Source organism: Homo sapiens, chromosome X (genome assembly GCF_000001405.40).
Source record: "Homo sapiens chromosome X, GRCh38.p14 Primary Assembly".
Lineage (NCBI taxonomy): Eukaryota > Metazoa > Chordata > Mammalia > Primates > Hominidae > Homo > Homo sapiens.
Window position 1 is genome coordinate 48,498,428 of NC_000023.11, and position 22,752 is coordinate 48,521,179.

At 49.7% G+C, this 22,752-nt stretch overlaps 1 protein-coding gene and 1 long non-coding RNA gene across 23 annotated transcripts, besides 2 other annotated features; one reads left to right on the forward strand and one right to left on the reverse strand.

The window, feature by feature from the left end:
- Positions 8,099–10,412, reverse strand: PORCN-DT (PORCN divergent transcript). Its single transcript, NR_135596.1, has 2 exons — positions 10,292–10,412; positions 8,099–8,628 (listed from the first exon to the last, which is right to left on the reverse strand). It is a non-coding gene; the product is annotated as a PORCN divergent transcript (long non-coding RNA).
- Positions 10,392–10,791: a silencer, noted in NCBI's record as "silent region_20814". NCBI's record gives its function as "represses an Ori minimal core promoter by ATAC-STARR-seq in GM12878 lymphoblastoid cells {active_cell/tissue: GM12878}" and the evidence as "EXISTENCE:reporter gene assay evidence [ECO:0000049][PMID:35858748]".
- PORCN (porcupine O-acyltransferase) lies at positions 10,565–22,387 on the forward strand. 22 transcript variants are annotated; one of them, XM_047442360.1, is made up of 16 exons: positions 10,565–10,676; positions 10,997–11,280; positions 11,357–11,529; positions 12,868–13,060; positions 13,465–13,508; positions 13,899–14,080; positions 14,162–14,292; positions 14,408–14,425; positions 15,700–15,714; positions 15,813–15,938; positions 16,098–16,198; positions 17,290–17,366; positions 17,463–17,526; positions 17,634–17,719; positions 18,756–18,866; positions 21,948–22,381. In XM_047442360.1, exons 2-16 carry the CDS (start codon positions 11,066–11,068, stop codon positions 22,047–22,049), a joined length of 1,638 nt encoding a protein of 545 aa, XP_047298316.1. In that variant the 5' UTR covers positions 10,565–10,676; positions 10,997–11,065; the 3' UTR covers positions 22,050–22,381. The 22 variants fall into 22 exon arrangements, 20 of the variants coding, with proteins under 20 accessions (XP_047298316.1, XP_047298320.1, XP_047298318.1 ...); XM_047442364.1 differs by having other exon boundaries at positions 10,997–11,150; positions 12,939–13,060; XM_047442362.1 differs by having other exon boundaries at positions 10,997–11,122.
- Positions 22,222–22,281: a silencer, noted in NCBI's record as "silent region_20815". NCBI's record gives its function as "represses an Ori minimal core promoter by ATAC-STARR-seq in GM12878 lymphoblastoid cells {active_cell/tissue: GM12878}" and the evidence as "EXISTENCE:reporter gene assay evidence [ECO:0000049][PMID:35858748]".

The window sequence follows — 22,752 nt, forward strand, 5'->3', positions numbered from 1 at the left end:
TGTTTATCTAGCCACCCATCCGCACACCCACATAACTGGTCACTGCTGTGGCTCCAGCTTTGTGCCATGCATTGGGAGCACAGAGATGAGTCATATCCCCTCCTGCTCTTTCAGCCCTCCCAGTCTAACTGGAGAGACATCCACAGGCAAATCTCGCTGCATGATTCTGTGATCAATGCTGTGGTTACCCCAGGGAGCATTTGATTATGACCCTGACATTTTAGCCGAGTGCTGACAGATCTCTTGGTGTTGCCAGGAGAGAGGAGGAGGAAGGACATTCCTAGAAGTGGGAACAGCGTAGATAAACCCTGGGAGGTGTAAGAGAGAATGAGTGTGGTTAAAGCGCAGGGTGGATGAAGGGCTGAGGCAGAAGTTGGCACTTGGGCTGGGTGCAGTGGCTCATGCCTGTAATCCCAGCACTTTGGGAGGCTGGGGCGGGCAGATCACCTGAGGCCAGGAGTTCGAGACCAGCCTGGCCAACATGGTGCAACCCCATCTCTACTAAAAATACAAAAATTAGCCGGGTATGGTGGTGGGCACCTGTAATCCTAGCTACTCCAAAGGCTGAGGCAGGAGAATCGCTTGAACCCGGGAGGCGGAGGTTGCAGTGAGCACCAAGATCACGCTGCTGTACTCCAGCCTAGGCGACAAAGTGAGACTGTCTCAAAAATAATAATAAAATAAAAGAAGTTGGCATTTGGAAGCTGAGCAGGGGCTTTAATTCCTAGTCCTGGGGTGCCAGGGATGGCTTTTGAGCAAAAGAGCCAGCACCCAGAGTGTGGCCAGAGGCCTGGGGAAGCTGGCCTGGGGTAGCCAGCCCGCTTTTGCTCCAGGCCCCAAAGAGACACATGTGCCAACCCCCAGCCTGCAATTCAAAGAAAGAAAAAGACTTCAGGAAGAACGCCATTTACAGAAACTGTCCCTGAGATGGATGGACAGATGGACAGTGGGATGCTGAGATGTCTGGTGGGTGTACAGATCCAAGCATAAACTCTGGTCCACACCACACGCTTTGGGGACACATACCAGGGAAACAATGTGGTCAGGGGAATCAGGCATGTGCACCCCAATTTACCTGGCTCTGCAGGGCTTGGAGGGCTTGCAGGATGCATGGCCACGTTGCTGAGGGAAGAGGGCCAGAAGGTCAAAGCCACTTCCAGTTGGGACTCTAAGAATTTCCTCAAGGGGGCCGGGTGCGGTGGCTCATACCTGTAATCCCAACATTTTGGGAGGCCAAGGCAGGTGGATTACTTGAGGTCAGGAGTTCAAGACCAGCTTGGTCAACATGGTGAAACCCCGTCTCTACAAAAATACAAAAATTCATCTTGCGTGGTGGCGGGTGCCTTTAATCCCAGCTGCTTGGGAGGCTGAGGCAAGAGAATTGCTTGAACCTGGGAGGCAAAGGTTGCAGTCAGCCAAGATTGTGTGCCACTGCACTCCAGCCTGGGTGACAGAGCAAGACTCTGTCTTCAAAAAAAAAAAAAGAATTTCCTCAAGAGCAGCAGCTTCTGAATTTTCCTGAGTGTAGCTGAATCTTTATGCTAAGAAACCATCCCAAGACCTCTGCCAGGAGCACTGGGTGCTGTTAGCTCTGTCGAATGATGTTGTCCTTCACAAGGAGTAAGAGCCAGGAGGACAATTGAGGATGTGTCCTAAGAATGACACCCCGTGCAGGGGATGGGGCTCAGTAGTGAACCAATCCCTCTGCCCAGGGCTGCCAGCCTTCCAGGTGTCAGACTTGGTCAGGAAAAGTCCTCAGCCTTGATAGCTTGGTGTGAGAGTAGTGCAGTCAGATCTCAGGGTGCCAGAGGAAACTGGGTCAGCAGATGATATGCCAGGAGGCCCTAGGGTGCCAGGAGCTGTGGAGAGACCTCAGCTGGCTCTAGAAGGAAGAAGGGCAGCAGTTTGCAGGTAGGGTGGGGTAGAAAACCAAGGGCGGCCGGGTGCGGTGGCTCATGCCTGTAATCCCAGCACTTTGGGAGGCTGAGGCAGGTGAATCACCTGAGGTCAGGAGTTCGAAACCAGCCTGACCAACATGGAGAAACCCCATCTCTACTAAAAATACAAAATTAGCTGGGCGTGGTGGCACATGCCTGTAATCCCAGCTACTTGGGAGGCTGAGGCAGGAGAATCGCTTGAACCTGGAAGGCAGAGGTTGCAGTAAGCCGAGATCGTGCCATTACACTCCATCCTGGGCAACAAGAGTGAAACTCCGTCTCAAAAAAAGAAAGAGAGAGAGAGAGAGAGAACCAAGGACAACAGGGCTGCAGGGTGAGGAGGACCTCCCCAAAACCCAAAAGTCCTATGGCGGCCCCATTTCAAGCACTCTCCAGGCAGGGAGAGGCCAGCACCCAGCCCTTCGTCACCCCTGCTATTCATTGGTTGATGGAGTCCTGTAGTCAACGCTTGCCAGACATCGTCTAGATGCTGAGCCTAGTGCAGGCACTGGAGGCCACAGACAGCAGAGATGCAGCACTGCCTAGTGGGGAGACAGACACTTTTGTGTGATAAGGTTTATGAAGATAGGGTCTGCCCAGGGTGTGGGAATCCCAGAAGCAAGAGGTAGGAAGGGTCTCCCCGACCTGGGAAGTGATATCAAACTGGATCTTTTTTTGCTTTATTTTAGAGACAGGGTCTTTCTCTGTCACTCATGTTGGAGTGCAGTGGCACAATCACAGCTCACTGCAGCTTGGAACTCCTAGGCTCAAGGAATCCTCCCGCTAGAGCCTCCTGAGTAGCTGGGACTACAGGTGCATGCCACCATGCCTGGTTAATTTTTTCTTTTTTTCTGAGATAGTCTCACTCTGTTGTCCAGGCTGGAGTGCAGTGGTGCAATCTCAGCTCACTGCAACTTCCGCCTCCCAGGTGCAAGTGATTCTCATGCCTCAGCCTCCCGAGTAGCTGGGATTACAGGCACGTGCCACCACACCTGGCTAATTTTTTTTAATTTTTGGTAGAGATGGGGTTTCACCATCTTGGCCATCTTGAATTCCTGATCTCAAGTGATCTGCCCGCCTTGGCCTCCCAAAGTGCTGGGATTACAGGCATGAGCCACTGTGCCCAGCCAATTTTTAAAAAAATTTTTTGTAGAAATGTCGTCTCACTGTGTGGCCCAAGCTGGTCTCAAACTGCTGGCCTCAAGCAATCCCCCCACCTTGGCCTCCCAAAGCGCTGGGATTACAGGCATGAGCCACCTGGCCTGGCCGGAACTCCATACTGTTTTCCACAGCTGTTGCACCATTTTACATCCCCACTGACAGTAATTTCCCCTATCCTTGTTGATTTTATTTATTTTTGAGGTATTTGAAACAAGATGGTTTCAAAAGTCAGAACTAGGCCAAAAAGTCTACTCAGAGAGGTGTCACTGTCACTTCTCCGTTCTATCCCTCTCACCCATTCCCTCTAGGAAACCAATCTCAATAGTTTCTGCTTTATCCTTCCAATGTTTCTTTTTGTAAAGATAAACAAATACATGTATGTTTTCTTATATCATCTTGTTTCTTACATGAATGCTTGCATCCTATATTTACTTTTTTGCACTTTGCTTTTTCCACTTAACAGCATGTCCTGGCCGGGTGCAGTGGCTCATGCCTGTAATCCCAGCACTTTGGGAGGCCGAGCTGGGTGGATCACCTGAAGTCAGGAGTTCAAGACCAGCCTGGCCAACATGGTGAAACCCCGTCTCTACTAAAAACACAAAAATTAGCTGGACGTGGTGGCAGGCGCCTGTAATCCCAGCTACTCAGGAGGCCGAGGCAGGAGGATCACCTGAGGTCAGGAGTTCAAGAAGAGCCTGGCCAACATGGAGAAACCCCATCTCTACCAAAAATACAAAAATTAGCCCGGTGTGGAGGTGTGCACCTATAGCCCCAGCTATTTGGGAGGCTGAGCCAGGAGAATCACTTGAACCCGGGCAGCCGAGGTTGCAGTGAGCTGAGATCATGCCAGTGCACCCAGCCTGGGCAACAGAGCAAGACTCTGTTTCAAAAAACAAACAAACAAAAAACAGTATGTCCTGGAAATCGTTCCTCATCAGTTCATAGATGTCTTCCTCAATCATTTTACAGTTGCACAGAACTCCATTGTGTGACTGCACCACAGTTTATTCAATCACTGCCTATGTATAGGAAGTGATATTGTTTTCAATATTTTGCAATTATAAACCGTGCCACAATGAATAACCTTGTGCATTTGTATTTTCACAGTGTCTGGGGGAGTATCTTCAGGGTAAATTGCTGGAAGTGGGAGCGCTGGTGCAAAAGAAAAATATGCATTTTTGTTAGATGTCAAATTCCCCTTCATCGGGGTTATAAAAACGACTTTTTAAAAAGCACAAATAAGAAAAGCTGATCTTTGCAAAAGAAACCAAACAGTCTTTCTTACTGACATCTAATAGTCTGCGTTGGTTTTAAGACTGAGGCATTTAATTTCACAAAGACTGTTTTTTACAGAGTGATTTAATTTCACCATTGTCACAGGCTCTGCTGGTGCCTACGCCACACACACACACACACACACACACACACACACACACACACACACGACCTCACATCGCCATAGGAGCTGCTTATCCCATCTGAGCCTCAGTTGTAGCCTCTGTAAAATGGGCGGCACCTGTCTGGCTACAAGTGGTTTTAGAGACTAAGCATTTGGTTCTCTGTGAGATTCCAGATTTCCCAGAAAATCTGATGAAAGCTGAGAGCTCGCTCCCTAGGAACATGCTGAGAAAGAGACAAGCAGCCCCTGACATCCCAGAGCTGGCTTGATACCCACGGCTAGACCTTAGTGCCCTCCTGTTGAACACGGACAATTTCACAAAACATCAGTATCAGACAAGGCCACTCTGACTGTGATGGATCGAGACAAAAACAAGATCAGTATGTCATCTTGTCTTAGCACAGACACATGAATACATTGTCCAAACCACAAAAATGACCAAGTATTCCCCGACTTGGCTATACAATGCACTTTTTTTTTTTTTTTTGGCCAATGACAACTTTAGCCTCCACTCTAGTTAGTCTGCCCTCCTTCTAGATAAAATTTATTGTGATATCCAATCATAGAATTAGCCCCACTCCCTATCCAGAGCAAAGCCCTGCTTCCTTAAACCATCCCCCAAATCACTGAACACAAGCCCCAATCCTATTATAAGTTCTAACTCCCTTTTACTGAGACACCCCACGGTTCCCCACAGTGTACACCCTCCCTTGTTGCAATGAGCAATAAACCCAACTTGTTCAACCACACATGTGTTCCTGGGGGGTTTTGGCTAGAGGACTTTGACAGCACTTACAGAGTTGGCTGTAAGCTCAAGGACTCTTTGGAACCCCATCTCTGCATGCCCCTAGTCCACAGACTCCTAATTAAGTGGCCTTGAGTCTAGAGCATCAGTAATACCATTAAACAGATGGAGAAACCGAGGTCTAGAGAGATTGACTTCTTCAAAGTCCCATTGTGAGCCAACAGCTGGGTAGGAACTGGAAACTGTGGCTGCTGGTCCCAAGGTGAGGTATGTCCAGCAGACATAGAACCCGTCCCCAAGCTCCCCTTGGCCACAACAGTGTTCTCCCTGCACAGGCCACAGAACTAACCGGCAAGATACGCACATGCGCATTTCTGAAGGATGGCTTCATTCTCTCCCTGTCCTGCCTTTCTCTCTGTAGAATGGGGCAGTGAGATCCCAGGTTGAGGGATAAAGGAACCCCCACACCGGGGCTACCCTCAAGGACGCTCACACACTGTGGTCTCAGCTTAAAGGAGCCTCATCTTCCCTGTCCAGCTGCTGCGTCCCAGAGTGTGCACCCTCACAGACCCTGTCACCAGTAGCACCTCATTCCCATCTCTCAATTTCCCTCTGCATTTGCCCAGGTCAGGCGAGCTACCTAGAACCCCCCTCCCTTCCTTTCTTGACCTTGAGTTCTCATAATTTTTCTTCGAGATCTAGCGTGGGGCCAGGCATGGTGGCTCACACTTGTAATCCCAGCACTTTGTGATGTGGCAGGATGGCTTGAGGCCAGGAGTTCAGGAACAGGCTGGGCAACATGGCAAGACTCCATCTCTAGAAAAGAATTTTTTTTTTTTTTTGAGACGGAGTATTGCAGTCTAGCTCTGTCACCCAGGCTGGAGTGCAGTGGTGATCTCAGCTCACTGCAACCTTTGCTTCCCAGATTCATGCGATTCTCCTGCCTCCGCCTCCTGAGTAGCTGGGATTACAAGGCGCCCACCACCACACCTGGCTAATTTTTTTGTATTTTTAGTAGAGATGGGGTTTCACCATGTTGGCCAGGCTGGTCTCAAACTCCTGACCTCAGGTGATCCACCCATCTCAGCCTCCCAAAGTGCTGGGATTACAGGCGTGAGCCACCGCGCCTGGCCCAGAAAAGAATTTTTAAAAGTCCCAGCTACTCAGGAGGCCGAGGCAGGAGGATCACTTGAGCCCAGGAGTTGTAGGCTGCAGTGAGTTATGATTGAGCCACTGCCCTCCAGCCTGGGCAACACAGTGAGACCCTAACAATCAATCAGTCAATCAACAAAATAAGAATCTGGCCAGGCACGGTGGCTCATGCCTGTAATCCCAGCACTTTGGGAGGCTGAGGCGGGTGGATCACCTAAGGTCAGGAGTTCGAGACCAGCCTGGCCAACGTGGCAAAACCCGTCTCTACTAAAAATACAAAAATTAGCCAGGTGTGGTGGCGGGTGCCTGTAATCCCAGCTACTCGGGAGGCTGAGGCAGGAGAATCCATTGAACCCAGGAGGTGGAGGTTGCAGTGAGTGGAGATCACACCACTGCGCTCCAGCCTAGGTGACAGAACGAGACTCCGTTTCAATAAATAAATAAATAAATATAAAAAATAAAATAAAATAAGAATCTTATGAGTCCCAGAGAGAGAGAGAGAGAGAGACAAAGCTCTTCCTCACAGTAAAATCCCAGGTATATGTGTAAAAGAAAAATCATTATTTGGCCACCATCAGAGTAGTTATTGCTTCAGGCAAGAATCACCAATGAATGCTAAAGTAGTGAGTAAAAGTTTGATTTAAAAAAAATTGCAGAGTTACAGTCTCAAAGTATCTCCCGAAAAGCTACTTATTAATTACAAAAGGGGATCATGCCTGTAATCCCAGCACTTTGGGAGGCCAATGCAGGAGGATTGCTTAAGCCCAGGAATCCGAGACCAGCCTGGGCAACATAGTGAGACTGTTTCTACAAAAAATTTAAAAATTAGCCGGGCATGGTGACTCACACCTGTAGTCCTTGAAGATTACATGAGCCCAGGAGTTCAAAGATGCAGTGAACCATGATTGTGTCAATGCCCTCAAGCTTGCGTAATAGGGCAAGACCCTGTCTCCAAAAAAAAAGAAAAAAAATTACAAAGGGAAAAATAGTAAATTTATACTGGTGAAAACTAGAAGACCACTTTAAGCAAAAGATCAATGCTAATACTAACAATTTCGAGACTAACTGAACCCTCCTGCCTCCTGATAACGCTGAGAACACAGCGTCACTTCTGTGGAATTCCTGCCAAAAATGCAGAATTCAAATCTAATCATGAGGAGACATCAGATAAACCCAAATTGAAGGACATTCTTCCAAAGAACTGGTCTGTGCTCTCCCAAAACATCAAGATCATGAAAGTTAAGTGAAGATGGAGACATTGTTCCACATTGGAGGAGACTAAAAAAACCTGATAACAGAATGTATCTTGTGACCCTATGATTCCCTTTTCCTATACAAGGACACTATTGACATGCCCACCAGGGTGGCTAGAACCAAAAAGTCAGATAACAAGTATTTGTGAGGATGTGGAGCAATGGAAACCTCATACTATGCTGGTAGCAATGTAAAAAAAGAAAAAAAAGTCCTTGCTCTTAGGATATTCATACTGAAGTATTTAGTTAAAAGGGTGTCATATCCGCAACCACTAACAAATAATTCAGAAAAATCACTGTATATCATTCAGAAAAATTATATATATGTAAATTACATATGTATATACATGGGGAGAAAGAAACGGACAGAGACAGAGAGAGAGCAAATATGTTATCATTATAAGGCTTGGCATTTTTGTCAGTCCCATAAGTGAAAAATAGTATATCATTGTTTTTAATTTGTATCTCTTTAATTATGGAGAGCTCATCTAAAACACCCCAGAAACCACAACCTAGAATGACCACAGACATTTATTGAGTGTCCACCCTCTACTAAGCTCCAGTGATAAAAATATGAAGCACAACATCTGGTAGATGTAAAATGGTATTATATCTCACTGTTGTTTTAATTTTACATTTCCCTGAGCAGTAAAGAGATTGGGTTATCTTTTCATATATTATACATATTGACCATTTTAGGTTTCTTCTGCTGTGAATTACCTATTTGTACCCAATGTCTATTGCCAAGTGTATTGTTTGTCCTCTTCGGATTTGTAGATGTTCGTTATATATCCTAAAACCTAGATCCTACTTCTTTGTGACACAGGTCAAAAGCCTAGATGGAAACAATCAAGTCCGCAAAGCCCAGGAGCACATGTGGTAAGAATCTTCCAGTTTTAAATGCCAAGTCTTGCAATTGAGGGAAGTATTTCTGGTAGGTGCTGTGGGTCATTGTTGACTCAACTTGAGTGGGTTTGACAACTGAGAAAAAAATTAAAATGAAATTTAATTCATAAAATGTATGTCCTGTATTCTGCTGTTAAGGAAAAGAATTGATATTTGTGCATCTGGTCTAAGCTATTATTCCTTATATATACATATTCTTACCGTATTAAATGTTTTTTGTTTGTAATACATGAATACTAATTTATGAGCTAGAACTCCATTTAACTTCATGTTAAAATAGAGAGAAAATATACATTTCTCTTCAATTACCATTGGTGTTTCCCAGCAAAAACCTGCCAAGCCCACTCTTTTGTTTAACAGAAAAGGACAATGGAGACGGGTGAGTGAACATGACTTGCCCAGCTCCATACAGGCCATTGTTAATCTGATTAAAATCTGTTTCAGTTGGCTGCCCAGGTCAGGGTGGCGTCCAGTTTGACCTGGGCTTCCTTCTCCCTTCCACGTCACAGCTAAGCATGTAGTGCAGTAAGCGCCCAGTAAGTGCTCTTTTGGAAAAATAGGCCCTTCATCAGCCTAGGTACAAAGGGGAATGCCTAGAAACTGCAGCAGTAGGGTAGGTAGAAGGCGGGTGCTACATAAATCTTTAGTGTTGGTGCAGATAGAGGTGCGGATGGGGCCAGTGTAAGCGCTTTCTTTTTTATTTTATTTATTTATTTATTTAGAGAAGGAGTTTCGCTCTTGTTTATTTATTTATTTATTTTGGAGAAGGAGTTTTGCTCTTGTCACCCAGGCTGGAGTGCAATGGCGTGATCTCGGCTCACTGCAACCTCCGTCTCCTGGGCTCAAGTGATTCTCCTGCCTCAGCCTCCGGAGTAGCTGGGATTACAGGCGCCCAGCTAAATTTTTTGTATTTTTAGTAGAGACAGGGTTTCGCCATATTGGCCAGCCTGGTCTCAAACTCATGACCTCAGGTGATCCATCCGCCTCGGCCTTCCAAAGTGCTGGGTTACAGGTGTGAGCCACCACGCCCAGTCTTTATTTATTTATTTTGAGACGGAGTTTCGCTCTTGTAGCCCACAATGACGCGATCTTGGCTCACTGCAACCTCTGCCTCCTGATTCTCCTGCTTTAACCTCCCGAGTAGCTGGGATTACAAGCGTGCGCCACCACGCCTGGCTAATTTTTGTATTTTTAGTAGAGACGGGGTTTCGCCATGTTGGCCAGGCTGGTCTCGAACTCCTGACCTCAAGCTATCCTCCTACCCTTGGCCTCCCGAAGTGCTGGGTTTATAGGCGTGAGCCACCGAGCCTGGCCCTTAAGAGCTTTATAAATGCCCCCCTTTTAAGTGCTCGGTACTAGCCTCCCTCTAGTTCACAGAGAACATTTACTAGTCGCTGGGGTCACCTTCGAAGCAAAGAGTCTGCTGGGGAATTAAGCATGCAAATCACTTCTCAACGACGACACGCCAAGTGCTCACAGCTCGTCCCCAGGGGAAGCACAGGCGCCTAATTTGTGTTCCTAGGTGACACAGTCATTACTTATAAATGTTCCTGGCCGGTCCCAGGAGGTGGGAGGGTTGGGAGTTACTTCGGTTCTCTCAAAGGTTGGGGAAGGAGAGATCTCGGTTTGTTTTCCCATCTGTGAAACGGGGACACCACGGTATTTAGAGGACGTGCGCGGGTGACTATTTGGGGGTGCAGCGGCTTCCCTCCTCCCTCCCCCATCTTTCCCTTCTCACTTCCAAGGCTTGGAAATTTGGAGATTCGGAAGTTTGTTCTTGGATGGCCAGAAATCCTCCGGAGGCAGACGGTCTGGGGCTGAAACCGCCACAGGCCGGAAAGGTGCGGGCGTGAACGTCCTGCGCGCCGACGTCCCCCCGCGCCGGTCTCCCCTCAATCCTCCTGCTCCCCTCCTCCGCGTCCCCGTCCCCGCCCCCCTCCTGCTCTCCCATTGGCCGAGCCGGCGGCCGGGCCGCCCCGGGATTTAAAGGGCCCGCTCGCCGCGCCGCTCTGGGAGCCGCTGCTGGTCCCGGCCTTGCGGCCTGCGGGGGAGGCTGCCCGGAGGAGGCAGCGGCGGCGGCAGCGCGTCCTCGGTCCCCAGGACCACGGCTTCTTTCCTGCCAGGTAGGTCGCCAGTAGTGCGCACGCGGCTCCCCAGCTCCCATCCCTGGGCCGGCCTCCCCAGGCGGATCTGTAGCGCGAGTGCTAGGACCCCCTCCCCATCACCTTTCCGACTCTCCCTCAGGCTATGTCTCCTACCACCACCTCCTTGCAGCCCCCGGACCTGGGCAGGACTTTGTTGGCGGCCTCTCGCCGGGTGGGGATGAGATGGGGGGCGCGGAGGATACAGGACACCCCCCCTCCCCGTGCCGCCGCATCCATACAAGGAGAGATGCACACGGCCCCCAAGTGTCACAGAATCCCCCTCTCTGCCCTCCACTCAGAGCGACTCTACCTTGGAAACCAGGGATTCCCCTTCCCGTCGCCCGCCCCATTTGATATATGGGCCTGAAATGTATGCCATCCCATCACCATCGGACTGGACTGTTCACAGCACTGGAGAGACAGAGGTCCTTCATTCACTCCAGGTCACAGGCTGTGCGTGTGCATGCCGAACACCCACATGCACACAGTTGGTGGCTCAGTCTGATGTACCTGACTTCTCACGCCTTCCCCCAGTCCTCCAGTACCGTGCCTCTACATGGGCTGGGCAGCCCCAAACTGAAATGTGAGTGCCAGAGTGCATCCTTTAAGCGAGGTCTGCCCCACGGACACCCGCTCCCTCTGTGTCCCTGCTTTGACAGATCTATCCATCTGGCCATCCATCCGTGGGGGTCTGCAATGGCCACCTTTAGCCGCCAGGAATTTTTCCAGCAGCTACTGCAAGGCTGTCTCCTGCCTACTGCCCAGCAGGGCCTTGACCAGATCTGGCTGCTCCTTGCCATCTGCCTCGCCTGCCGCCTCCTCTGGAGGCTCGGTAAGTGCCTGCCATACCGTGTGCCACCATGCCAGGCCATATCAGACCTCCCACATTCATCCATATCGAGCCACACCTTACCCTGTCACATCCTGCCAGGCCCTAGCATGTCCAAGCTGGACCCCAACATGTTCAGCCCCACCACATCCCACCAGGCCAAACCCCATTCCACCATACCACATCCTACTATGCCAGCCACCCCATGCCATGCCACACCGAGCCACATCCTGCCATGCCAAGCCATGCCCTTCAGTATTCCTGAGTTCTGGGATTCCAGAAAGCTGAGATTCTTGGATCTTGGGATTCTGAAATGTCTACATCCCAAGGTTATAAGACATTGGCATGCTGATGTCACAGGGTTATGGAATCCCAAAGTACCATGATTACAGCGTTTGGAGATTCTGACAATTTGAAATTCTCACATTCTAGACTTCTAAAATGTTGGCATTGTGGATTTCTATAATCAGGGCATGATGCGATTTCTGGATTCTAGGATTCTGAAATGTTTCCACAGTCATAGCAGGCCTGTATCTTAATGAAAGATTCCAAGTCCCCAAGATTCCTATAGGAGGCGGAGATTTCTGGAAATCTGAGATCCGAAGGTTCTACACTTTCTTTTTTCTTTCTTTCTTTTTTAATTTTAAATGGATGTTCTATTTTTTCCCAGGTTTATTATTTTGAAATTTTTCAAAGCTACTGAAATGTTGAAAAAATAGTACAGTGAGCACCCACGTATGCATCACCAGATTCTCTGTCAACATCTTGCCACGTTAGCTGGCTCTATCTGTCTATCTATCTATCTATCTGTATATCTATCCATCTATCTATCTATCTATCTATCCATCTATCTATCTATCATCTTCCTGAATTGCCTGAATAACCTGCTGACATCATGACACTGTACCCCACATCCTTCAGTGTGTGGCCCCTGAGAACAAGGACATCATCTCCCACAACCACATCCTCCACCATCACCCCACAAGACATTGAATCTGGATACAATAATGTTATCCTATATAAATTGATATTTGAATTTCTTCCAAGGTCCCCCAAATGCCCTTTATAGATGTTTCTTTTCTTTAAACCCAGGCCCTGCCACCCTCTCCAGCTCCCCAACACCTGCTTTGGGCCCCTCCAATCCCACTACATTCCAGCCTGAAGGCCTTTGCCCTGGCTACGCCCTCTACCCAGGTCATCCTCCCCTTCCTACTAGCCCACCAACCTTCTCTTTCTTGTTCTCCCTCTCTCTCTCCCTCCCTCCCTCCCTTCCTCCCACTCCCTCTCTTTCTCTCTCTTTCTCGTTCTCTCTCTCCCTTTCTTTCTCCCTTTCACCCAAAGGGTTGCCATCCTACCTGAAGCATGCAAGCACCGTGGCAGGCGGGTTCTTCAGCCTCTACCACTTCTTCCAGCTGCACATGGTTTGGGTCGTGCTGCTCAGCCTCCTGTGCTACCTCGTGCTGTTCCTCTGCCGACATTCCTCCCATCGAGGCGTCTTCCTATCCGTCACCATCCTCATCTACCTACTCATGGGGTATGAGTATGCATCCTTATCCTCACACTGTTGGCTGAAGTGCATGGGTGGGTCCCCAGGCCCCATATGAAGTTGTCCAAGACAGGGAGGGTGGTGAGATTCCCCGGAGAAAGAAGGGAGTCTGGGAGAATCATTTGCCTATGAGGAGACACAGAACAGGTAGGACGTGGAGTGTCCCTGGAGAAGGGAATCTGGGAGATTTGTCCTTTCACAGGACTGTAAGGGACAGGTTGGGCATGGGCTCCCCCTGGAGGAGGGAGCCTGGGAGAATTTTTCCACCATGAGACTGTTGTAGGACAGGAGGAGGTAGAACCCTCTGGGCACCTTGGACCCCCTTCCCCTGTCCCCCATGGTCTCAGAGGCCATGAGTGTCATGGGACCAAGACCAGCACCTTTTTCCTCAGTGAGATGCACATGGTAGACACCGTGACATGGCACAAGATGCGAGGTAGGTAGCCCTGCCCCTCTCACCTGCCCAACCCCCCTGCCCCACTCCTCGTCTCCTAACTGCCCCCACCCTGTGCCTTTCCTCTCCTGCTTTTCTCCCTCACCTGCCCACCCCACTGGACGTGCAGACCTCACATTACTCTTGGGTCCGTGTCTCTTTCCACCGTGCATTTTCCCGAAGTCTGTCTGTCTCGTGTCATGTATGTGCCTGACTCTCTGGAGTAAGGGCATCTATCTGTCCTGGGCTTCCTTGCCCACCTGCCTATCTGTCCCATGCCCACCTATCCATCCTTGTGCCCGCTTTTCCTACCACATCTCACCTGGTGCACCTCCTCCTTGCCATGCTGATCTGCTCTCTGCCCATCCACTTGACCATGGGCACCACACATAGGGGCACAGATGATTGTGGCCATGAAGGCAGTGTCTCTGGGCTTCGACCTGGACCGGGGCGAGGTGGGTACGGTGCCCTCGCCAGTGGAGTTCATGGGCTACCTCTACTTCGTGGGCACCATCGTCTTCGGGCCCTGGATATCCTTCCACAGCTACCTACAAGCTGTCCAAGGCCGCCCACTGGTGAGGTCCTGAGTGGATGGGTGGGCAGGGACTGTGGGAGCCACCCTGGGGCAGCACTCATGGAGTGCTTGATCCCTACAGAGCTGCCGGTGGCTGCAGAAGGTGGCCCGGAGCCTGGCACTGGCCCTGCTGTGCCTTGTGCTGTCCACTTGCGTGGGCCCCTACCTCTTCCCGTACTTCATCCCCCTCAACGGTGACCGCCTCCTTCGCAAGTGAGCACAGCCTTCGAGGCCCCTGCCCAGCAATGAGGGGGTTGGGTAGGGACCCGCGGTTTCCCCAGTTCTGAGCCTGTCTCTTAATGCTTCTTTCTGTCTTCTGTTACTACAGCAAGAAACGCAAAGCCAGGTAAATGAGGGCAGGTGTGAGGGCACGTGGAGTGGGGCTGACATGAGTGGGGGCAGAGCCCATGACCAATGGGTTCTGTGTGTCCAAGTGTGTCTGACCGTCAACTCCATGACTAGACAGAGACTGTGGTTGGCTGGCTGGCTGACGAAGCTTGGCTCTGTGACTCTGTTTGACTGACACTCCAACACATACTGTCTCTGGCTGTCCATCTGTTCAGCTGTCTCGCTGTTAGAAGCAAGTCATATTAACTGTCATGGAGAGTGACAAGTATGTGTTGGTTGGGTGACTTTAACCTGTCAGTGACTCTGTCTAGGGATATGTATGATGTATGTTTGTCTATTGGCCACTGACCCCCGAATGTAAGCCTGTGTGGCTGTCTGGCTGTGCCATCATCAGTGATAGGGTATGTGGCTGTCATTGGATAAGATAAATCTGTGTTCAAGATTCTGACTTTTTGTAGCTTTGGCCAGGAATGGGTCTGACTGTGGCATGTCATATGCCTGTCTGTGGAGTTCATGGACTACCTCTGCCTGTGTGTCTGCCTTCCCTGATGGCTTGGTGTTGTCTAGCTGAGGGGTTGTACCCGACTCTGGTCTGTGCCTGTCTGCAGGACTGACTGCCTCTAGTTTGACTATAGGGTTTGATCTGGCTCTTTGGTTGTATGGCCCCTCCCCTACTCCCTGGCTGCTGATTAGGTCTAATGCCGAATGAGTCTCCAAAAGGTCAAGTGACTTGACCAGTGTCACCCAGCTAAGCAGCCAGGCATGAATCCCAGGCCTAACTTCAGAACCTATGCTTTTTCCAACGCAGGATGCTGCCTGTTTTTGACCATGTCTGATTACAACTAGTAGGGGGGGTGTGTGTGTGCACAGCAGGGTGTTTGATGGTCTCTGTGCCCAGCTCAGGGATTTTTGGCTGTCCTGTAGTCGCTGAGTCAGGTTAGAGCATTGCAAGGCTGGGAGTCTGATAAGATTTGTGTCTGGCTGTTAGAGGGTGCAGGTCTGTGAAGTCGGGCCTCTGATGGTGGCTGGCTTTGGCCGTCTGGCCACGTGAGCCTGCAGGGCCATGCCATATTATAGGATAGCTCATGCATCCATTTGAGCCACATAAGACTAACTGCCTGAGGGTGGATGTCTGTGTGTGACTATCATAGTTCACCTTTTTTGTGGCTACATTTCATCTGTCTTGTCTGAACAATTCAGACCAGCCTCCAGGGCCTCTCTGACTCTCTTTTCTTTCTTCTCTGCTGCCTTCCTGACCCCTGGGGGCCCTAGGGGCACCATGGTAAGGTGAGTCTACAGAGCGGGGCCCAGGATGCTGACATGTGGTGGGGTATCATGTTGGGACCTGAACGTGATGCCTCTCACCCCTGCCCCTTTCTCCCCAGGTGGCTGCGAGCCTACGAGAGTGCTGTCTCCTTCCACTTCAGCAACTATTTTGTGGGCTTTCTTTCCGAGGCCACGGCCACGTTGGCGGGGGCTGGCTTTACCGAGGAGAAGGATCACCTGGAATGGTGGGGGGGCTTGGGGACCCCCTCTCCCACAGGGTGCTGCCTAGAGGAGCTGCAGGGAGGAGGGCGGGTGCTCCCAGGGGAGGGAACGGCCAAGACAGAAGTGTGGCGGTCAGATGAGTTGAGATCCCAAATGGATTTGCATATCTCTTCTGCCCCCAGGGACCTGACGGTGTCCAAGCCACTGAATGTGGAGCTGCCTCGGTCAATGGTGGAAGTTGTCACAAGCTGGAACCTGCCCATGTCTTATTGGCTAAATAACTGTGAGTCACCAAGTCACCACTCCAGCTGTGTTGGTAATCCAGGCCCTTTCATACATTCATACAACATTTACTGAGCACCTTCTGTGTGCTAGGCACCCAAAATCCCTACCCTTGTCGAGCTGCAGTTCTCCTGGGGGGGCAGATGATAAATACGAGAAAAAAAATACATAATAGCTCAGGTGTTGATAAGTGCTATGGTTAAAAAAAAAAATTTTTAAAAAAGCAGGTAAAGGTGATCCAGGAGTGCTGGCAGGAGATAGGAGTGGGGAGGGTAGGGTATTGCAATTGTAAAAAAATTAGCCAGGGCAAGTCTCCCTGAGGAGGTGACATTGGAGCAAAGATGCAAAACAGGTGAGGGAGCAGGGAGCGCAGATATATGGGGGAGGATTGTAACAGATGCGGGGACAGCAGGTGCAAAGGTCCTGAGGCGGGAACTTGCCTGGTGTGTGGGGAACAGCAAGAAGGCCAGCAGGGCAGGAGCAGAGTGAGCCAGGGTCCAGTGGCAGGCGGTGAGGTCAGGGAAGGCCCGGAGGGCCTCATGGGCCATGGAGAGGACTTTGGCTTTTTCTCTGAGAGAGATGAGAGCCACGGCAGGGCTCTGAGCAGAGGAGGGCCCTGGGCTGACTCGGGTTGCAGCAGGATCCCTCTGGCTGCTGTGAGGACAGACTGAGAAGAGGGATCGAGGATGCAGCAGTGAGGAGGCCGCTGCCATCATCCAGGCCAGTGATGGTGGTGGTGGCAGTGGATGTGGAGAGGAGAGCTCAGATTCTGGCATATTCTGAAGGTGGAACTCACACAATTTGCTGAATTTGGATGTGGGAGTTTGGGGAGGGCAAATCAAGGGTAATTCCCAGGTTTTTGCCCTGAGGAACTGGAAACGTGGAGTTGACATTGACTGAACTTGATGAGACTGGGAGGAGCAGGCTGGGAAGATCGGGAGCTGGGCTTTGGGCATGTGAAGTTTGAGGCCATCTAAGGACTTTATCCTGGGGGCTCCAACAGGTTGTGGGTATTCTCATCCTGCTGATGGCCCTCCAGGAGGGGCTGGGGGACTTTCAGGAGAATTTTATCCCACATCTCTTCCCCTCCAGATGTTTTCAAGAATGCTCTCCGCCTGGGGACCTTCTCGGCTGTGCTGGTCACCTATGCAGCCAGCGCCCTCCTACATGTGAGCAGGGTGGAGCAGGATCAGGGTGGAAGCTGGGTGGGGGCGGGTGGCAGGGCCTCTTCCTCACTCATTTCATTGTCATCTGCATTCCCCCAGGGCTTCAGTTTCCACCTGGCTGCGGTCCTGCTGTCCCTGGCTTTTATCACTTACGTGGAGCATGGTGAGTGCAGGGCCCAGCCCAGCCGTTGGATAGAAGGTTGGTGGGGGGGCTGGAGACAGCCTCCCCTGAGGCTAACCTGACCCCCTTACCTCTCCCCACCACCCTAGTCCTCCGGAAGCGCCTGGCTCGGATCCTCAGTGCCTGTGTCTTGTCAAAGCGGTGCCCGCCAGACTGTTCGCACCAGCATCGCTTGGTGAGGGTTCAGCCTGGGCAACCTTGTGCCCAACACTCCCTGTCAAAAATGTTCCTTCTATCTCTATCTTGTATGTGTCTCAGGGTGCCCACCTTCTTCTTTTGGTGCCTGAGCCATCCCCATAACCTCTCCTCTATTCGCTGGCATCCGTTTCCCTAACAGGCATTTATCGAGCATCTGCTGTATACACACCTGGCATTCGTTTCCCCCAGTGAACATCCGTTGAGTGCCTGTTGGTGCTCTAGGTGCTGGAGACACGGTGAATGAAACAGACTGAAGTCCCAGCCCTATGGGACAAACATTTTAACCGGGCAGACAGTAGATAAAAAATGAGTCAGTAAAGTCTAATAATAGTGTGTCAGATTGCAAGTAGTGCTAAGGAGAAAATGTGTAGGGCAAAGGGGACGGGAAGTATGGGGGTGATTTCCATTTGAAATAGGGAGGTCAGAGAAGCCTCCCTGGTGAGGTGATGTTTGAGGCCTTTAACCGAAGGAGGTGAGAGAGGGAAACGTTCCAGGCAGAGAGACACCCAGTGGAAAGGCCCTGAGGTAGGAGAGGGCCTGGAATCTTTGAGGAATAGCAAGGCAGCCAGGGTGGCTTGAGCAGAGGTAGGGTGAGGAGGGGAGATGGGTGGGAGGCATGGGCCCTCTAGATCATGGTGGGGATTTGGTTTTGTTGTGTGTTTTTCATTCTGTTTGCAATAAGAAGTACAGACAACTTCATACTTGTCTCCCACCCAACTCCCGTTCATTACTATAAAGCCCTGACTCAAAGCCCTGCCACTCTTCCTCCTCTGCCTGGAGACTCGCACCTCCCCCAACCCAGGATGCCCTCACTGTGAACAGTACCCTCATCTTGGATGCCTCTGCATAGGAGGCTCCCTGAACCATCTCTTCCCTATCTCAGGGGGTACCCTGGGCATCCTCAGTCCTGGAACCCACTGTGCCCTGTGTGTCCCCTGGGCTCCCCCGTGCAGGAGGAGGTGGGACACAGTGAGTAGGTCCAGTTGCCAAGTATATCCATCTGTCCCCCACAGGGCCTGGGGGTGCGAGCCTTAAACTTGCTCTTTGGAGCTCTGGCCATCTTCCACCTGGCCTACCTGGGCTCCCTGTTTGATGTCGATGTGGATGACACCACAGAGGAGCAGGTGAGGTGGGGCCCTGGGCTGTGTGGTTAACCAAGGGTGGCGCTATCTGGCGGGGGGAAACCATGAGGACAAAGGCTGGGAAGCTGAGGCCTGAGCTCCTCAGACTGTGCTGCTTCGCCTGGGCAGCCAGTGCTCCTCGGTCCTTTCCCATAGTCCCTCTGCTTGAGTCACACTGTTAGGTCTTTTATTTGGGTGAAGTGTGCAAAATATGTTTATTTATTTTACTTATAAAATAACTTTTAGGCTGGGCATGCTGGCTCACGCCTACAATCCCAGCACTTTGGGAGGCCAAGGTGGGCAGATCACTTGAGGTCAGGAGTTCAAGACCAGCCTGGCCAACCTGGCGAAACCCCGTCTCTACCAAAAATATAAAAAATTAGCCAGGCGTGATAGCATGCACCTGTAATTCCAGCTACTCGGGAGGCTAAGGCAGGAGAATCACTTGAACCCAGGAGGTGGAGGTCACAGTGAGCCCATGCCACTGCACTCCAGCCTGGGCAACAGAGCGAGACTCTCTCAAAAAAAAAAATCACTTTATAGAGATGGAGTGGAAAATCCAGGTTTTACTTGTGTTAATTATTTCACTTCATTATTGTTTAGGTAGAATTTGCAAGACTTCTTAATTTTTTTTTTTTTTTTGAGACAAGGTCTGTCACCCAGGCTAAAGTGCAGTGGTGTGATCACGGCCCACTGCAGCCTCACATTCCTGGGCTCAAGCCATCCTTCTGCCTCAACCTCCTGAGTAGCTGGGACTACAGGTGCATGACACTAAGCCCGGCTAATGTTTTTTTAATTTTTTTTGTAGAGACAGGGTCTCCCTATGTTGCCCAGGCTGGTCTTGAACTCCTAGGCTCAAGCAATCCCCTTGCCTCAACCTCCTAAAGTGCTAGGATAACAGGCATGAGCACCCTGTTTTATTTAATTTAAATATATATATATATTTTTAGACGGAGTCTTGCTCTTGTTGCCCAGGCTGGAGTGCAATGGTGCGATCTCAGCTCACTGCAACCTCCGCCTCCTGGGTTCAAGCAATTCTCCTGCCTCAGCCTCCTGAGTAGCTGGGATTACAGGCACGCACCACCATGCTGGGCTAATTTTTGTACTTTTAGTAGAGATGGGATTTCGTCATGTTGGCCAGGCTGGTCTTGAACTCCAGGCCTCAGGTGATCCACCCGCCTCAGCCTCCCAAAGTGTTGGGATTACAGGCGTGAGCCACCACGCCCGGCCAAAAAAATATATATTTTATTTTACTTAGGTTGAGTGTACAAACCCTGGATTCTGCACTTTAAAATTTTTCGTTAAAATGTATGCACTATTTTTGTTCATGTTGAGTATGCAAATACCAGATTTTACTCCTTTTTAAATTAAGAACAATTTAAAAATAACATTTATTCATATGGCTCTTGCAGAATCCAGGTTTTTGCTTCTCTTTTAGTTAGGTTTCAGTCAAAAACAAAACTTTGTGTTTTTTGATATTAAAAAGTTTTTAATTCAGGTTAAGTGTGCAAAATCTGGGATTTGCTTTTCTTTTTTTTTTTTGAGACACGGTCTCACTCTGTTACCCAGGCTAAAGTGCAGTGGCACAATCATAGCTCACTGCAGCCTCAAACTCCCAGGCTCGAGCAGTCCACCCACCTCAGCCTCCCAAGTAGCTGGGACTAGAGATGCATGCCACCACACCTGGCTTTTTGCTTCTTTTTAAATAAAGTTTTTGTTTTGTTTTCATTAAAATATTTTAAAATAGTGAATGCCTATCATGTGCTTCAAAAACCAAACAGTATTCAAGATATTTAGAGAAAAGATTTGCTCCCACCCTCTGCCCCCTACCCTCTTACAGGTTACATGGTGAGACGGGGTTTCACCATGTTAGCCAGGCTGGTCTCAAACTCCTGACCTCAGGTAATCCACTCACCTCAGCCTCCCAAAGTGCTGAGATTGCAGGCGTGAGCCACCGCACTGAGCCCACTTTTATCCTTTTATTAAAATATCTTTCCAAAATTTAAGCATATCAAACAAATATAAAAATATATTTTAATTCTACCCCCTTGCCAGTTTTTACCCTAAAGATAACACATGAATGATACTGTTCTGCAATTTTTGAAAATCTTCCACATCAGGATATAGTGTCCTCATTCATTTTTTCCACTATGAGGAAGTGACACAGTTTATTTTTTCTCTTATTTGTGGACATCAGGTAATTTCTAGTCCTTTCCTATTGCAAGTGATGTTGCAGCAGGAACTCTGTACCCAAGTGGATCCACACAGGTGTGGACAGATCTGTAGGATCTGTTGATAGTCTCAATGGAGTAGTACTTTTGTGCTCTCCCACCAGCAATGCCTGAATGTGCCTGCTGCCCCACCAGTACAGAGTGCCTCTCAGACTTCCTGGATATGTTTGCCACTTCAATAAAGAGGAAGATGGCCGGGCGGGGTGGCTCATGCCTGTAATCCCAGCACTTTGGGACGCCCAGGCAGGCAGATCACTTGAGGTCAGGAGTTCGAGACCAGCCTGACCAACATGGTGAAACCCCATCTCTACTAAAAGTACAAAAATTAGCTGGGCATGGTGGTGCAGCATCTGTAATCCCAGCTACTCAGGAGGCTGAGGCAGGAGAATCTCTTGAACCTGGGAGGTAGAGGTTGCAGTGAGCTCAGATCGTGCCACTGCACTCAAGCCTGGGTGACAGAATGAGAGCCTGTCTCAAAAAGAAAATAAATAAAATGAGGAAGATTATTAATGAGGCTGAGCATCTTTTCATATGTTTAAGAGCCATTTGTTTTTCCTTTACTGGAATGACCTATTCACCTTCTCTGGCAATTTTTCTTTCCAAAAAATTAATTTTTAGGAGCTCTTTATATATTAGGGAGATAACAGGTCAGAGAATGGGATCACTTTGTTTTTAAAATGATTTTTAAAGAAGAAGACAAAAACTATATCTGGTCACCTTTCATATGTACCTAGGCCCTTCTGCGGGGCCTCGCCTAGAGCAGTCACAGAAATGTCCTTGGGCAAAGGATGGGTTTTCCTAAGAACTTCTTTGTCCTTGCTAAGTGGGACCATCACCTCTTTCTCTCCCACAGGGCTACGGCATGGCATACACTGTCCACAAGTGGTCAGAGCTCAGCTGGGCCAGTCACTGGGTCACTTTTGGATGCTGGATCTTCTACCGTCTCATAGGCTGAGGCACATCTGTGGACCCTCATAACCCTCTTAAGACCCCTCTCAGGGTGCCACTGATGGGGGATGAGGGAAGGCCCTCTCTCTACTCCTTGACCCCCTCCATCCTTGACCCCCAACACCTCAACACACACACACACACACACACACAAAATCACACCATTTTCATGCCTGTCAATCCCCACCCCACCACAAGGCAGGAAGGGGGTGGTGCCTGCTGGGGCCTAGAGGGGGATGCTTGGGGAAACAGAGAAGGGGAGATCCAGGGCCTCCCCGCCTTCCTTCTTCCTTTTTATATACAATTTGTTATTGTCAAATAAAAGTAGGAAATATTCAATAGGCTTCTTCTTCACTGCTCAGAGGGGAATAGGAATGAGTGAGGAAGGGAGCACAGCATGGATAAAGGTTTGGAAGCTGGAAACCATGAAGAGAGAGCAGACTGTGATTGGTTCATGGTTAGTTTATGATTGATTAGATGATGAGCCTGAAGATGGCAGGATCCTGGTCCTGCTTGGTTTGATCAGGGCAGGGACAGATTGCATAGTTGGATGTGGGGGAGGCCTGATTGGCTGGAAAACTGAAGGATCCCCATTCTGATTGGTTGCTCTGAGTGGGACACAGAGGAGAGAAAGCAAGAGAGATGAAGGGTTGGTGCCTATTTATCCTTAGGACTGAGGGTTGTGGGTTCTAATTGGATGGGAGGTCTGG

Coding starts and splice junctions, on each gene's coding strand:
- PORCN (XM_047442357.1), top strand. CDS start 11,055: ATGGGCCTGAAATGTATGCCATCCCATCACCATCGGACTGGACTGTTC. Junction 13,061..13,464: donor CTCATCTACCTACTCATGGG/GTATGAGTATGC, acceptor CTTTTTCCTCAG/TGAGATGCACATGGTAGACA. Junction 17,367..17,462: donor CAGCCAGCGCCCTCCTACAT/GTGAGCAGGGTG, acceptor GCATTCCCCCAG/GGCTTCAGTTTCCACCTGGC.